General features: G+C 36.9%; 1 protein-coding gene across 18 annotated transcripts in view; it reads right to left on the bottom strand.

Annotated features, from left to right (window-relative positions):
- Nucleotides 1–18,435, bottom strand: part of RYR2 (ryanodine receptor 2) — a 791,805-nt gene that overhangs the window by 283,616 nt on the left and 489,754 nt on the right. For all 18 annotated transcript variants that reach the window (XR_007062490.1, XR_002957299.2, XM_006711802.4 and 15 more), the window contains one exon: nt 1,783–1,942. Coding sequence is in view for 16 of the 18 variants with exons in the window: in XM_006711802.4 (XP_006711865.1) it covers nt 1,783–1,942 (160 nt within the window). In the remaining 2 variants the exon portion in view is untranslated. The remainder of the gene's footprint in view (nt 1–1,782; nt 1,943–18,435) is intronic.

Raw genomic sequence — 18,435 nt, 5'->3', positions numbered from 1 at the left:
AATCAAATGAATAAGCGCATCTATGGAAAGCAGACCCTCTCCATGAGAAGGAAAAACAACAATAACAAAAAACAACTTCAGTGATCTCTAACCACTTCCATCTGCCACGTTCACATGGCAAAGGACAAACTTAGAGAACATATAACTTCTGAGTACAGTTCATGGACAGGGTTTTATTCCAAGAACAGCCAAATTAGTGCTGGTTCTCCCTCAGTGGTTTTCAGGCAATGAAGAACTTAAGGCTGCTTTCCCTTCTTCAAAAAATTCCAGCGTGTTATGGACCACCCTTCTATGTCCCTAACTGAAAAATATGCATTGGGTTGAATCCACCAACCAGTGAAACCCGGCAATGCCAGGGGCACTAAAATGACTATGAAACCCATAACTTGTCTATTGTACGAGAGGCTCCAATGTTAAACTGTGGTTAAAATGTGTTGACACAGAGAGAGTGAACAGGCTATCTTACTATCTTGGCAAAAGGATGCTTAATATTAGAGTACAGAACTGAATTCCATGGGATCGGGGAGATGCATCTACTCCTACAAGTGTGTAGGGCAATGCCACTTTGGAAATTACTTCTTTCCATTCACTTCCTGAGACCTGCTGCAGTATTTGCTCAAGTCTCCACATTTCAAGAAGCATAATCAATTCTCAATACTTTAAGATAAGCAGGAATTGGGAGGCTGTGGATGTTCCCACCACATCTCCCAAGAGTTAAAAAAAAAAAAAAAAAAAAAAAAAAAAGAAAGCTATGGAATCACACAGGGGTTGTTCTGGTAAACCAGAGAATAAATACTGTAAATACTGTGTTGTTGTTGTTTTGTTGTTTTTGTTGTTGTTTTGAAACAGAGTCTCACTGCAGCCTCAACCTCCTGGGCTCAAGTGATCCTCCCACCTCAGCCCCCTGAGTAGCTGGGACTACAGGCATGTGCCCCATGCCCAGCTAATTTTTTAATTTTTTGTAGAGACGGTCTCTCACTATGTTGCCCAGGCTGGTCTCAAACTCCCAGGCTCAAGCAGTCCTCCCACCTTAGCCTCCCAAAGTGCTGGGATTACAAGTGTGAGCCACCCCGCCCAGCCAGAAATACTGTTTTGTCTTGTCTTTTCTTCCTTCCCTCTTTCAGGCAAATTTGTACTGAATACCTAATCCTGAATACCTTAATACCCAAATACCTGAATATCTACTGATGCCTAGAGCAAAATGATCTGCAACAGTAACTCAGTGGTGAAACCTGAACTGATGCGAGGCTGTTTATGGCCTTTACCCCTCTTTGGTATGACCATGCCTCCCTTGTGCGGAATGAATTGCAATTTGAAGTCACTTGCCCTACCAAGGTTGTTATGTATATACATGTAATATATCCTCAAATCACCATTCTGAAAACCAAATAAAAAGACTGAATTCTGAAATTTATGTGGCCCCAGGGGTTGTGAATAAGGGATGGTGAACCCATTTTATTATCACTTTATCCCAGTCTTCTTACATTTCAAAAGTTTCTCCTAAAATACAGTCTCAGAGAGAGAAATACCACAAAACCATATTATAAGTCACCAGTGTAGTATTATTCATTGTGTGCCTCACATGTGTTCACGATCACAGCCAGAACTAAGGTCATGTAAATTCTTGAGTCTAGCATTAAACAGCTGTTTTAGTCCAAATGTGCACTATATGTGATCTATATGATACAAGTTTTAAAATAGTCATTATGTAATCCTTCCTGTTACAAATTATGCTAATTCCCACTTAAGTAAGTCTCAGACCAAATGCTAATTCCCATGTACCTGTTGGATGCCATAAGTCCAGCCCTGCCGGATTCGATCCCGCGCCCACACATTATGTGCATTTTCTGCCAACTTGTCCACCATTGCTTCTTGTGATGGGGTGAGTTTGATAAAGCTCAGGTCCATAGGGGCAGGCTTGTATCCACTTGTCAGCTGGTAACTACAAATCAGAGACAAAGAAATTTGTGTATAATTGGCCTTTTCATAAAAATCTCTGTAAATATCATTTTCTGGCCCTACCTCATTACTGTTCTTCCATAAACCACAGTGGTAACCAGTGGTGAAGTACCAGACAGCAAGCCTAGGTTCCTTTCACTTTAGCTAATAACTGATCAGAATGAAAAGCCACATAATCTTTGTGTTTTTGTTTTTACACCAATAAGACAGAAATGAGACAACTTACCTGTCTCTCAGAGATGAAAAGGACCTGTCATTGTTTGTGTTCCTAATAGCTGAGGCTTTTGTATAGTCTAAATCAAAATATTGGTTATTTATTGAAATATTTTAGAGATTTCTCTTCCTGTGAAGTCATTTTTCTTCAATTGTTAAATGTTAGATTAATGTAATATTTATTTCATAAATCAGTGTATCCTTCAGATACTACCTATTTCTTATTCCACAGGGAAATTTAAATGCATTTGTAACTTATTTCCTTACTGTCATTCCTAGTTACGTTATTTAGGAAGACTAAATAAGATAGAGACTAGAAAGTAAAGAAAATCACAGCTATATAACCATCTAAAATCTGATTGCATTTTATTTCCCTAGAGTTCAAGGATCTCTTAGCAGAGACTGCTTCTACATTCTAGGCTGGAGAGAGAAGGTATTATCGTAATAAAACAGGTATAAGTTGTAATCGTTGGAAGAAATACAAAGTTGAAAATATTAACTTTTCAATGCACACATATAAGGGCAATAGTACTGCCCTGCTCCACACAGACACACAGCGCTTCATTCTATTTAACTACTGAGATTGGCACAAAGCCTATTTTATAACTGCTTTTCTTCCATTCTTCTGTCACTGTTGTATTCTCCATTATTGACTATACCTTGAGGTCAGGATCTGTTTCTGATTCATTTTTCTAACTGCCATTATCCTTAAAACAGTTCCCAGCAGATAACAGCCTTTTCATATACAGTTGTTGAAATAATTAATTTCATTTACCAAATTAATATAAACATAAATGCATCTTCAACTCAAGAACGTTCACTAGGTAATTATGCTAAGTTACAAAATTAATTATTAAAACATGAGAAAATGCTTTTAAAAATAAATGTGAGAAAAGGCCGGGCACAGTGGCTCACACCTGTAATCCCAGCACTTTGGGAGGCCAACGTGGGTGGATCACATGAGGCCAGGAGTTCGAGACCAGCCTGGCCAACATGGTGAAACCCAGTCTCTATTAAAAATACAATGATTAGCAAGGTGTGGTGGCGGGTGCCTGTAATCCCAGCTATTCGAGAGACTGAGGCAGGAGAATCGCTTAAACCCAAGAGGCAGAGATTGCAGTGAGGAGAGATCACGCCACTGCTCTCCAGCCTGGGTGACAGAGCAAGACTCCATCTCTAAATAAATAAATAAATAAATAAATAAATATATATATATATATATATGCTTTTGAAAATAAACTACAAATTCTCTTAAAAATAGACTACTAATCTGGGCTATGACTGGCATCATTACAAGGCAAGCTCCTTGAAAGCAGGGAGTTTGTCCATTTTATTCACAGTGACCCCCCAGCACCTAGAATAGTGACCAATACATGGTAGGCATTCAGTAAAAATTTGTTGAATGAATCAATATATTACAGCAATAAATAACTTTTTTAAGGTTGAATACAGATGGCTTTAGCTTAGTTACTTCTATTTTACTATAATACATCCCATATATTGTAAGTAATTTATGTATAGGCTGGGCTTGGTAGCTCACTTCTATAATCCCAGCACTTTGGGAGGCCGAGGCAGGTGGATCGCTTGAGGTCAGGAGTTCAAGACAAGCCTGGCTGATATGGCAAAACCCCATCTCTACTAAAAAATACAAAACAATTAGCTGGGCATGGTGGCACCCAACTGTAATCACAGCTACTTCGGAGGCTGAGGCATGAGAATCGCTTGAATCTGGGAGGCAGAGGTTGCAGTGAGCCGAGATTGTGCCACTGCACTCTGGCCTGGGTGACACGGCGAGACTCTGTCTCAAAAAAACAACAACAACAACAAAAAAGTAATTTATCTATAGACACAAAAAAGTAATTTTTCTGTAGACAAAAGCTTTACCAATGTTTTGTTTTGAGTAGATTATAACAATTAGGACAAATTACTGATCTATGTCATTCAATTTACATTCATAAGTTAAATTTATGGACATTAAATTTTGTTCCATTTTAAATAAAAACTCTGTTTGTATGGGCAATTAACTGTAGCTTTTGTTTTTTAATAAAGAAGCCATGTGGGAATTTTTTTTAACAACTTCTATAAATCATTGTATTCGACAGACTTCTGACATTTAAATAGGCAAATCTATAAACTGTAATCACAGCTGAAGATATAAGTTCTTATTTGAAAAGTATTTTCTTTTATTTTAGAATATATAGATATAGATATATTTATGTATTTAAATTAAAAAAAACCCAAAACATTAATATATATATTTTACATATTATATATTTATGGTTTTGGGTTTTATTTTTGTTCTTTTTTGAGGCAAGGTCTCACTTTGTTGCCCAGGCCGCTCTTCAACCCCTGGCCTCAAGCAGTCCTCCTGCCTCAGCCTCCCAAATTGCTGGGATTACAGGCATGAGCCACCACTCCTGGCCTGGAAAGTATTTTTTTTTTTTTTTATTTTTCAAGAAAAAGCTCCCACTGCATTTCAAATGCACCAACAGGTAATCAAGCTAGCATAGTCTAATTTCCAAGTTTAACAGTTTGCTGGAGGCAGCCTCAGGGTACATGATGAAGAGCCCAGTCTTCTGTACTTCCTTGCTTCCTCACAACTACTTCTCACTCCCCACAACTGGCCCATGGTCACCCAGCACAAGCCAGCACACAATCTTCTTTCACTTTTCAGCAGCCTTGATCCCATCTAGCAGCCACAGAGGCCACACAGATGATGAAGTTTCGATATCCACCTGTGAATCACTGATCGGAGCCATTGCTACCCTAATGAGGGATACATGCATTCCCAAAGAGGAGTGATACTTTCTGGAAACCAATTTTTAATGGTAGACTTTCTAGCAATATCTCATGGAATGAGGAAGTACTTTTGAAAGGTGGAAGGTGGGAAGGAGGTCTTTCCCAATAAAAACTTATAGACAAGTTATGCTAATGTGCGAAGCTGGATAATATTGACAAAATCATTCCTCTTTATTTTCTACATTGTTTTCTTCCCATACAGATTTCTTCTAGAATTGCTTTAATCTGTGATCTCAATGAAAACTTATGGAGATGCATTTGCATCTGTTTAAGTAGCCCAATAATTTGTTCACATTCATCTTCAGATGTAAACTACACTTTTTTAACCTTCTTTCCTCTATAACCTTGTACGAGAAAGGATTTGAAGCTTAGAATTGTTTTTTTAAATGGCTAATAATCCCATCCAAATTATAGTTACAAACTCTCACTTCACCTGAACCTTTTTATTTCCACCTATTTTGAACAACAAATCATTTGTACAGTAAAAATAAACATGAACATCTATGAAATTCATGGACTTTAACTAATTATAATGGATAACACTATTGACATCATGAATGTTTCACCAGTATGAATTAATGGTAACAGCAATAATTTATGAAACGAATTTTCTGTTTGTAGTACATTCTGACAAAGGAGCTAAGAATCAAATTGTTATATCAAAATGAGATATATTTAAAAGTAAATAAGTACAGTTTGACAATGTTCATTTCACCTTATTAATACAATTTAATTAGGTACACAGAGGACAACCAACTGCTAATATGAATGATTATCTTCTTGTGGTTAAAAATGAACAAAGCCTTTGAATCAAATGTAATTGACATGAACCAGAAACTGAACACTTTCAAGTAAAATTTCAGATTGATTTCCAAAAAGTTAAAGTAAATAAAAGAAAAAATACTAAAATAACTCTTGGAAAGTAAAATTTTATAGCCACCAAAATGGGAAAAACTCCTATTATTATTATATTCATACAAAAAACATATAGCTCATATTAAGATGTCTCTGTATTACATTCTACTTTCTCAAACATCATGAGAAACTTCTGCCAGAATCAGCCGACAGACTTTTCTCTCCTCCAATTTATTTACTGAACAGGTATAAGTAGCTTTTACCCCCTTTCTTTAACATGCACATTCTCTGTGCCATCAATCATCCTATAAAATTAGCTTATGAGGAATATATATGAAATTAAACAAATGATTTAATATGCTCACTTTACAAAGTATCAAAATACTTTTATAGTTATTAGCTCTTAGTTTTATTTTGGCAACTACATAATTTAATAAAATAAAATAAAAAAGAATAAAACAACAACATTGAGAGTAATCAAATACCTAACAGTTTAGGCTTTGCTTTCCCGATAGCAAAATTTTTTTTAAATACCTCTGAAAACAAAACAAAACAACAAAGATCCTGGCCAACTGTCGATTCTATTTGCATCAAGTCACCAAAGATATAAACAAAAAATTGACAGTGTTTGGCTCCACTGGGGAATTTTCATGTTAAGTTGCAGCTCAGTTTTGTGCTTCATTCCCATCTGACCCACATTTTTCCTAAGCAGGTATTCCAGATGAGTCTTTGAAACAAGGGCTCAGTGTAATGTAATTAAAGGGCCAATTAAAGTGATTTAACAAAAACAAGGCAGAATACCAAAAACAGTAAGCACCAACCTTTTGTTTTTTTTAAGCCACCCCCACCTCCCAAGCTTACTTGTTTAATATGGATCAAGTTAAATGAAGCTTGGAAATCATTATATTGTGAAAGATGTACAGTAAATATGTAAAGGCTACAGCCAAGTTCAGGGAGTGTTAGCTGTAAATTTCAAAGCCAAATCAGCCCTTCAAGTACCTTGGAACAAATGAGAAATCTCAGATGACTGCACACCAGAGACATTAAGAGCAAGTTTTGCTGAAAGCACATCTACTAGAAACGAATACTAGGCTGACATTTTCACAGAAAACATATAGAGAATATTCAGAATCATTCTCCAGAAAACAAATACAGAAGGATTAATTTCCAGAAGGGAGAAAACAAGGGTTATATTTCTTCTACTTTTTTACTTTTGTTTGTTTTTAAATAAAAACATGTAATATGAAGATGTGCCCTACTCCCCTGACCCCAAACTCCTTTTTACTTGAAGGGCTTCCTACACCCCTCAGCCCCTTTGAAACAAGACCATGAAGTATCCACTGCTCTCAAGAAGGAGGCATTTCAAGAGAGAGAGAGGGAAAAAAAAGCTATACTTGGCTTTTGGATTTTAAAATGTCTTTGAATATTCAATGCAGAGACAAAGATCTTTATAGCAGGGCCTTGTGATATTAAAATCTCTGCTTTTGAATACCAAAGGAACAAAGCCCTTATGCCTTAGGACAGAAAAGAACAGATAAAGAACCCAGGGCCTCCAGTCTAAGATAGGCTGAAAATTCCAGAGCCTACAGGAGGGGAGAGTCAGAGGAGGCAAGTTCTCCCCAGCCTTCTGCCCAAGTGAGGACCAGATAGATCGCAGAGCCAAAGTGAGCTTCTATCTTGCTTCCTATATTGTACTCAGCCAAATGGCAGGGTCTCATAATTTCACAGATCCAAACCCATGAACAGTACAGATATGGTGACAAACTAATTCCAGGCTGATGGGGCTGTGGCAACCCTTCCTTCTCCCTCCACCAATAGGCTGCAATCTCCAAGCGGCCAGAGAGAGCATTCTTAGCTTTCCAGCACTCCTAAAGAGGCCCGGATGAGGCACGAGAAGGAACAGTGACTCACAGAGGGGAGGAGGGCACCCAATGTGAACCCAATATCAAATCAGTGCAGAACACAAACATCCTGTAAAATGCCAGCAGAGATGAATGAAGACAATTCAGTCGAAGACAGCAAAGTCAGATGAGAATGGCCAACGACTGAACAAGACCTCCCTATCAGGTGAGTACCCAGAACATAAGCAGCCCTGGTAATAAGAGGGGCATAAATCTTGTATTCAATTTCACCGTCAAATATTCATTCAGCAGTAGAATGCTTTCAGGTGCTATTCTAGGAACTAATAATACATGGGAGGCTGAGGCGGGCGGATCACCTAAGGTCGGGAGTTTGAGACCAGCCTGACCAACATGGAGAAACCCCATCTCTACTAAAAATACAAAATTAGCTGGGTGTGGTGATGCATGCCTCCAATCCCAGCTGCTTGGGAGGCTGAGGCAGGAGAATCGCTTGAACCCGGGAGGCGGAGCTTGCGGTGAGCCGAGATGGCGCCATCGCACTCCAGCCTGGGCAACAAGAGTGAAACTCTGTCTCAAAATAAATAAATAAATAAATAAATAAATAAATAAATAAATAAATAAATAAAGACAAAAATGTATACCTTTATAGAAATTATGTTTGTGAGGCCTCTGAGCCTAAGCCAAGCCATCGCATCCCCTGTGACATGCACCTATATGCCCAGGTGGCCTGAAGTAACTGAAGAATCACAAAAGAAGTGAAAATGCCCTGCCCCGCCTTAACTGATGACATTCCACCACAAAAGAAGTGAAAATGGCCGGTCCTTGTCTTAAGTGATGACATTATCTTGTGAAAGTCCTTTTCCTGGCTCATCCTGGCTCAAAAAGCTCCCCCACTGAACACCTTGTGACCCCCACTCCTGCCCACCAGAGAACAAATCCCCTTTGACTGTAATTTTCCTTTATCTACCCAAATCCTATAAAATGGCACCACCCTTATCTCCCTTCGCTGACTCTCTTTTCGGACTCAGCCCACCTGCACCCAGGTGATTAAAAGCTTTAATGCTCACACAAAGCCTGTTTGGTGGTCTCTTCACACGGACGCGCATGAAAATGTTCCAATGAGGAATCAAGTACGAAACCAAATAAAGTATAATATGATAGTATGTTAGAAGATTTAAATGCTATGAAGAAAAATAAAGTAGGAAAGGGGGATAGGAGGAAGCACGTTTTTAAATAGAGCACAATTTTAAAGACGTTGAGGGAGACCACTTGAGAAGATGACATTGGAATCAAGACTTAAAGGTGAGACTAGACACAGAAAATATTGATATAATTATGTTTGCCCTAAGCAAACTAGAATTAGTGCCCTAAACAAACTAGAATTAATTTATCACTGTCAGGCTGCATTCTGGCTACAAGGCTCATTGGATTTAAATCCTAAATTAGGCCCAATCAGAGAAAATGAAGAACACGGCACATTGGTGCATTTTTAAATTTCTGGTCTGTGAAATTTACCCACTACACACAAAAAGAGTATCTAAGGGTTTTTCTTTTCTTCATAATTACAGTGCCTCATCTTTACAGAAAAATCCAACTGTATTTCTAAACCATTTTTCACTGAGGTAAATATTTACCAAAGTGAATTTTGTACATGTGCTTGTGTCTATGTAAACAGTATACATACGGGTACACATTCAGTATCTAATACATTCATTTCAGAAAGTCATTTTAAATGTGTGTGTGTGTGTGCATACATATATATATATATATATACACACACACATGCATCAACCATATCATTCTCAGCCTTTTATCTGCCCTACTATGCCTCAGAGATATCACCTTGTTTCCTGTCACATGTAGTAGCTTCACAGCATTAGGGCTAAGGCTGTGTTGGGAAGAGCAGAAAACCTAGCAGTAGTTTTAGAAACCTCTCAGATGATCCTAGTATGCTTTTTTTTTTTTTTTTAATATTTTGAAACGGAGTTTCACTTTTGTTGTCCAGGCTGGATTACAATGATGCGATCTCAGCTCACTGCAACTTCTGCCTCCCAGGCTCAAGTGATTCTCCCGCCTCAGCCTCCCAAGTAGCTGGGATTACAGGCACCTGCCACCATGCGTGGCTAATTTTTGTATTTTTAGTAGAGACAGAGTTTCACCATGTTGGCCAGGCTGGTCTCGAACCCCTGACCTCAGGTGATCTGACCGCCTCGGCCTCCCAACTGTTGGGATTACAGGCATGAGCCACCGTGCTCAGCCCTAATAGGCTTTTAAACACTCAAGCAGCCTTTGAGTTACTGTGTTTTGTGTTGATTTCATAATAGATAAGTGCTAAATGAAAGTTTAAATGAATGCCATTAATATTCAGACAGGATTTTATTTTCATTTAAATCTACAGCTTTTCGAACAATCTCAAACACTCAATTAGGCATATGAGATAGTGAGGACCACAAGCTCTTGGAGTGAGTGGATTGTTTTTCAGTTGCGTATTTCTTTATTGCTATAATAATTTAACTCTAGGCTCATCAAACTATGCAGTGTGTCAAGAGTTTAGCTGCAATAAATGAGGGAAGATGCGTGAAATTAAGAATAGATGATAATGTGTTGTGCTCTTCACTGTTTGCTTGTTTGTTTTGAGAGGAAGGAGAAAAAGAGGCACAGGAGGAAAGAAAAAAACTACAACGAATCATCCATTCTTCAAAATTTCTTAAGAATTTTCCATTAAATTATGTCTATTATATATCAGAAATTGGCTATTTAAAAAAAATTATTTCTAAGTTCTGGGGTACATGTGCAAGATGTACACAAAAATTGGCTATTTTAAAAAAACATTTTATTTTTATTAAGTTCTGGGGTAAATGTGCAGGATGTGCAGGTTACATAGGTAAACGTGTGCCATGGTGGTTTGCTGCACCTATCAACCCATCAACTACGTGTGAAGCCCAGCATGCATTAACTCTTTTTCCTAATGCTCTCCCTCCCCATGCCCCACTCCCTACAGGCTCCAGTGTGTATTGTCCCTCTCCCTGTGTCCATGTGTTCTCATTGTTGAGCTCCCACTTATAAGTGAGAACATGCAGTGTTTGGTTTTCTGTTCCTGCATTAGTTTATTGAGGATAATGATTTCCGGCTCCACTGGCTGCACAGTACAAAAATTAGCTATTTTTAATAGGGAATATAGCATTTAATTCCAATTGATATATTGAACTTGACCGATTATCAAAATGTCTCTAAAATATATGCAAAAGAGACAGCAGTAGAAATATTGTGGGCTATGAAAAGGTTATTCTGCTATGATACTGCTCTTTCATAGACCATAGCCCAAGGGTTGCGTGTAGGAATCGACCATATTTCTAATAGTTACACAAAAGCAACTTAAAATGCATATGTGTGTCATATAAAACCCTGGCACTCAGGAAATACATGCTTTCAGCAAGGGGAAGTGAGAGTCAAACTCAGAAATGACAGAGGTAAACCTGGTAGAAAACAATACTGGTTCTTATCAAGATTTTAACCCAAAATTAATCTTCTTGTGAACATTATATTTTGCTTAAATAATACATTTTAAGGAAAGCTAAGACAATTTCTAATCTATGACTTTTATCAGTGTATCTAGGTTGTATCTAGGTTATATGGCCTGTGCATCCATACAGAATGTTCAGAAGAATGGACCTTTAAAGTCATCCGCTAGGTTATGCCTATGTCTTGTTCTCCCTAATCCAGTCAGTACTAAGTCCCTTGAAATGTAGAATTCAAGACACCAGGACAAGGATGGAAATAAGAAACCTTGCTCTCAATCACCACCTCTCTCCTTTAAAACTCGTCCCCCTGGTTTCTTCCCACTATTTACATAAACATGCTCATGTGTCTCCTATGCTTTATCAAATTTTTATTTTTTTTTAATTTTTTTTATTGTGACGGAGTCTCACTCTGTCACCCAGGCTGGAGTGCAGTGGTATGATCTTGGCTCACAGCAACCTCCGCCTCTCAGGTTCAAGCAATTTTCCTGGCTCAGCCTACCAAGTAGCCGGGATTACAGGTTGTGCCACCACGCCCAGCTAATTTTTGTATTTTTAGTAGAGACAGGGTTTCACCATGTTGGCCGGGCTGGTCTGGAACTCCTGACCTCAAGTGATCCGCCTGCGTTGGCCTCCCAAAGTGCTGGGATTACAGCTGTGAGCCACCAGGCCTGGCCAAAAAAAAACTTCTTTAAACACCATTTCCTTCTGAAACGAATACCATCAATACCATCTTCCCTTTTTTTTTTTTTTTTTTTTTTTTTTTTTTTTTGAGACAGAGTCTTGCTCTGTCACCCAGGCTGGAGTGCAGTGGCACGATCTCGGCTCACTGAAAGTTCCGCCTCCTGGGTTCAAGCAATTCTCCTGCCTCAGCCTCCCGAGTGGCTGGGATTACAGGTGTTCACCACCATGCCTGGCTAATTTTTTTTTTTTATTTTTAGTAGAGACGGGGTTTCACCATGTTGCCCAGGCTGGTCTCGAACTCCTGACCTCTGATGATCTGCCCACCTCGACTTCCCAAAGTGCTGGGATTACAGGCGTAAGCCACTGCTCCTGGCCTGAACTTCCTAAAGACTAGTTATATTCCTCCTATCTCCTCTTTTCCACCAACATTTTTTTTAAGTAGATTAAAACCTGGTTTCTGTTATCAATCACCTCTTTGTTATTACTATGAAAAATTCCAGGCCTATGCAAAAGTATCAAAAATAGTGAATACACTTGAAGCTCTCCTTCTGTTACACCTCAATTCCAATCCCCTCCTTATCCCCAGAGAGAATTATTACTCTGAATTTGAAGTTGACTATTCCTAGACATGATTTTTATAGTGTTCTTCCATATATCTGGCTCTATGAATTATCTGTAGAATTATATTTTATGTTCTTAAACTTTAAACAGTATTACACTGTATCATCTTTTTGGTAACATGCTTTTTTTGTTTTTTGGCTCTAAGGAGTATTTTTGAGATTTGTCCTTTGAATCTATCTAGCTATAGTTAATTCATTTTAACTGCTCTATAGTATGCCATTAGATGAATCTATAAAAACTATATTTAGGCCGGGCACGGTGGCTCACACCTGTAATCCCAGCAATTTGGGAGGCCAAGGCAGGCGGATCACCTGAGGTCAGGAGCTCAAGACCAGCCTGACCAACATGGTGAAATCCCGTCTCTACTAAAAAATACAAAAATTAGCTGGGCGTGGTGGCGGGCGCCTGTACTAGGGAGGCTGAGGCAGGAGAATTGCTTGAACCCGGGAGGCGGAGGTTGCAGCGAGCCAAGATTGTGCTACTGCACTCCAGCCTGGGTGACAGAGCAAGACTCCATCTAAAAACAAAACAAAACAAACAAAAAAACAACTGTATAGGGATTGATGGGAATTTGGTGGAAATTTAAATTGTTTCCAATTCAGTGCTATTGCAATCTATGCTGCAATGAATATTCTTTTCAGGTTTGTTTTGCATGAGTACAAAAGTATCTCTAAAGTTTATTTCTGGAAAAGAAATGGGTCTTATAAGATTAGGCTAAATTGATCTCCATAGTGGTTGTACTAATTTACATAGTCTTCCATTTTTTCTCACTTGGTGGGGGTGAAATAGCTTTTCATTGTGATTTTAATTTACATTTCCTTGATTAGTACTGAAGTTGAGTGTCTTTCATATGCTTATTGGATCTGCAGGGGTTTTTTATGAATTATGTTCATATCCTTTGCTCATTTTTCTATTTGGGCATCTTTTTATTAATTTTTAGGAGTTCTTGATATTGTTCTGCAAGTCTTTTTTTTTTGAGATGGAGTCTCGCTCTGTCGCCCAGGCTGGAGTGCAGTGGCGCGATCTCGGCTCACTGCAAGCTCCGCCTCCCGGGTTCACGCCATTCTCCTGCCTCAGCCTCCCTAGTAGCTGGGACTACAGGCGCCTGCCACCATGCCCGGCTAATTTTTTTTTTTTTTTTTTTTTTGAGACGGAATCTCGCTCTGTCGTCCGGGCTGGAGTGCAGTGGCACTATCGCGGCTCACTGCAACCTCCGCCTCCCGGATTCACGCCATTCTCCTGCCTCAGTCTCCCCAGTAGCAGGGACTACAGGCGCCCGCCACCACGCCCGGCTAATTTTTTTGTATTTTTATTAGAGACGGGGTTTCACCATGTTAGCCAGGATGGTCTCGATCTCCTGACCTCGTGATCCGCCCGCCTCGGCCTCCCAAAGTGCTGGGGTTACAGGCGTGAGCCACCACGCCCGGCCACCCGGCTAATTTTTTGTATTTTTTAGTAGAGACGGGGTTACACCGTGTTAGCCAGGATGGTCTCAATCTCCTGACCTTGTGATCCGCCTGCCTCGGCCTCCCAAAGTGCTGGGATTAACAGATGCTTTTGATGCACAGATTTTTTTCCTTTAGCAAGTGCATATTTCAGATTAGAGGACATGAAACATAAATAACATCAAGTGCAGAAGCACACTTAAAAAGAAATAAAGCAAGGTTAAGGAAATGGTCAAGCGTCCTATTATTGTTAGAAATAATTCTGTAAATTCTCCTGAGTTTTCTATGCAATATTACCTGCTATTGATGACAATTTGGTGTTTTTCCTTTCCAAGCCTCATGATTTTTTTCTTGTCTCACTGCACTGGCCTTATTGAATACATCAAGTAGTAGTGACTTATATTGTCTCATTCCTAAACCTTAAAGGAAAAATTTGAGATTTTACCTTATAGATTATTGGTTTCTGTTGCCCCTTGTTAGGTTAAAGAAATCTCTCAGAGTATTGCCTTCTAAGAGTTTATATGCTTATAAATAAAAAAATCTTATGAATTATTTATTTCTAAATACATTGGGATGATCATATGAATTTTCGTCTTTATTAAGCATCAATTTAATGGATACATTTTCTAATGTTAACCTATCTTTTCACTACTAGGATAAACTCAGCTTGGTCATATTATACTTTGTTAATACACTACTGAGTTGTTTGCCAGTATGTTCCTTAGCATTTTTGCATCTATGCTCATAATAGCAATGGACTATAACTTCCCTTTTCCATACTGTCTTGATCTGGGCTTTGATATGAAAATCATATCATCAGAAAATAAACTGTGAAGTGTTTCTTCCTCTTTATGTGAGATTGTATTTGGTAGAAATCAATAGAAAAGTTGTTTGGGACGTGTGTGTGTGTGTGTGTGTGTGTGTGTGTGTGTATGTGTGTTTGATTCAATTCCTTTAATAGTTATAGCTCTATTCGTATTTTCTTTCTTATTGGATCAGTTTTGATATTATTCTATACAATTGTCCATACTTTTACCTTTAGAAAGTTTTAATGTACATTTGTTACATTTTTCAAAATATTCCTAAGTTTGCTAACAAAATTGTTTTTTCTTTTTCCTTTGTCAATCTTTTCAGAGTCTTTTTCCCCTGCTTAGTAGGTTTTTAAAACAGGCTCTTGGCATCATTGGTGTTTATATTTCATCCCGCCCCCACCAAATTCATTAATATTGCTCTTATTATAATTTATTTTCTTTTACTTTCTCCAAGTAATACTTAATATATGCAATTCATGTTTTAATATGAAATATTTTCCTTTTCCATTATTGTTTTACAATTTCCATGATGTATAAATCCAAGAGATCTATTGTACAGCATGGTTAATATAGTTAATAATGAGGTATTATATATTGAACTTGCCAAGAGATTTGATTTTAAGTGTTCTCACAAAATAAAAAGGGATTATGTGAGGTAATAAATACATTAATTGGCTTGGTTTAGCCATTCCACAGCATATACATATTTCAAAGTATCATGTGGTATACCATAAATATAGGCAATTCATATTCATCAACCTAAAAAATAAAATAAATGAAACCAAAATATTAAAAAGCTTTTTAAAAATCTGGTTTTGAATCATCCATTTATAAGAGTATAAAGGCATGAAAAAAGGATAGGTTCATTTAGCAAGATCAAGAAATATGGGTTATCTTTTTAACTAGAAATAAACAAAGGCAGAGTGGTAAATAAGTAAATAATTTTCCAGATGATATGCTTGATCCATAACCTATTTAGAAGTATATTTTTAAATGTCTAAGTGTGTCATGATTTGTTATTTTTGCTGTTATTCTTTGTGATCCAGTGGATATGATCTTTACGATATCAGTGTCTAATGTCCTAAAGGATACTAAATTTTATAAATGTTTCATGCATGCAGCACTCTATATATGTCAAGCTTTTAATTGGTGTGTGTTTATATTTTTATTAATCTTTGTTAACATTTATCTGTTACACATATCAGTTTCTGAGATTTGTGTTAGGTCTATCACTGTGATTGCATATTTGTCTATTTCTTTTTGAAAATCTACTAGTATTTTTCTTCATTGATTTTTGAAGCTGTTTTACTTGGTGTATACATGAGTAGTTATAGCATGATGCTTGTTTTCTCAATTCTCCATATAGTGGCCTTCTTTTCTTAATATTAATTTTGTTTAAGGTCAATTTTATTTAGAAACTGATAAAAGGAGAGTACATCAGTTTCATTTTGAGCAGTATTGCCTAGTGTGTCATTCTTACTATTTTCAACTTTTCTATGTTCTAAAGTTATTGATGTACCTCTTATAGCTGTATATCATAAATTATCTTTTTGAATCCAATCTGACAATTTCTGTTACGCACATGGAGAATTTAAACCATGTACATTTGTTATGACTAATGGTGTATCTGGATTTACATCTGTCATCAGATTTTTATTTTAAAAAATCATTATAAAATAACTACAAAAGTATATGCTTCAAAGCATTATAATAAAATTAACTTCATTAATCCACCACGAAGTTAACAATTAGAACATTACTAACATTACATCTATCTGTGTGTTGCTCCCCATCTTACATCCCTGCCTATATTTATACCAAAGATAATTACTATCTAGAATTATAATTTCATTGATTTTTAAAAGTCAGTCCTTATCGAAGTATGTATCTCCAAAATATGTATTTAGTTTTTATTTTTTAGTTTTACTTGCTTTTGAGCCTCAAAGATGGTTTTACATTGCATCACCCTTGTAGAATGTTTTTTACACCCTTATTATTTTTTAGGTTCATCTATGGTGTCATTTATAATTCCGTGATTTTATTATTAGACTATAGCCAACTTGATTCATTTTCTTATTGAAGAATATTTCTTCCACCTCCTATAACTACCCCCTTATTCTTTAGCTATTCCAAATAACATTGCTATGAATGATAGTTTGCCTGCTCGTCGGTGCGAACTGTCTCTAGGGTATATCTCTATGAGTGGAACTGTTGGGTACCAAGACGTGCAAATGTTCAATTTTACACAATGATGCCAAATTGCTTGCAAAATGGTTGTTAAAAAACCCCAACATTTTAGGCTCGCGCTGATCTGCATACATATCAATACCAGTTATTATGAAGATTTTTGTCAATAGAGAAAGAATAAAATGATATCTCATGGAAAATTTAGAGACAGTATATAGACTGTCAGCAGATCCAAGTATAGTTTTCATTTAAGGGTCTCAGCTTTTCCATATCTTCACCCACTCTCAAATAATTGCTGTGTTGCGTTGTGAGAGCAACACAAGGAATATGCATTAATAAATACTCAAGGCAGAGGACATTAGTTCCTCAATGAGACAAACTTATTTTTAAACCCTGTGCCCCATCCATCTATCTGTCTATCATCTAGCTATCAATCTATCATCTACCTATCTTAAAGTTAGAAATTGGAATTGAGATGATTGTCATGGGGACATGTATTAACCCATTTGTTTCAACAGAAAAATACAACCAGATATTTTTGACAAAAGATAATTCTGTTTTAGCTGATTGTTTTGTCAGTGAAAACTGCCTTTATCAATTAGATTTTATAACAGATAGAATCTATACATGAAATAAGTTGAATTGTATCCCAAATACATACACACACATGCACACACACTCACGCATAGCATTTGATACAATTGATTAAATGTATTATGCTGTCAAAGATAATGTGAAATTAACATTTCTACTTTCTTATTCTTCTGAGTAAAAGAGTAACAGGTATAATTACTAGGTTGTTGTTTTTTGGTTTTTGGTTTTGTTCTGTTTTAGCCTTAATAATGCCTTTTTTGGATACTTTCCAAAAAACCTGAGAGTGGTTTGGAAAGGATGAGGATAATGAAAATGAGAGGATAATGAATTCTTTTGGAAGTTAGGTAGATTCCAATTTTTGGCTTTCAAGAAACTGAACAAAGGCATAATTGAGCTGTCACCCTGAAAAAAATCATTAAATATGATTTTTCATAATAAACAATTATGGTTTTTGGTTAACTTAACTCAATGATCTTTTTAATAACAAAAATTATTTATGTGAACGAAGAATGCAACCACTCTGCCAACTTGACTCTATCAATAAATATTATTTGTACGTGAATACATAATGTAATTGGATAAAGAATACCTAAATCCATCTTACTATGAGCTATTTCCAATAACATCCTATTTTCTATGACTTTTTATTAAAAACAATTTATGTTGTTTTGAGCACCTGTGTACTAAAATAATATAATGATAACTCAGGAGGAAAATTTTAACTTAATGACTATGATCGCAGAAAACAAAAACAATTAAAAATTCAATTTAGATACATATCTTACTTATAATGTAGGATAGAGTACTCAAAGACTGCCAAGCATAAAACATTGATTATTAGCATAATATACAGTAGGAGAAATAATTTGAAAATACAGTTGAAAAA

Source organism: Homo sapiens, chromosome 1 (assembly GCF_000001405.40).
Source record: "Homo sapiens chromosome 1, GRCh38.p14 Primary Assembly".
NCBI lineage: Eukaryota > Metazoa > Chordata > Mammalia > Primates > Hominidae > Homo > Homo sapiens.
Note: the sequence above shows the minus strand (reverse complement) of the source record. Positions and strands in the feature narration are given on the sequence as shown.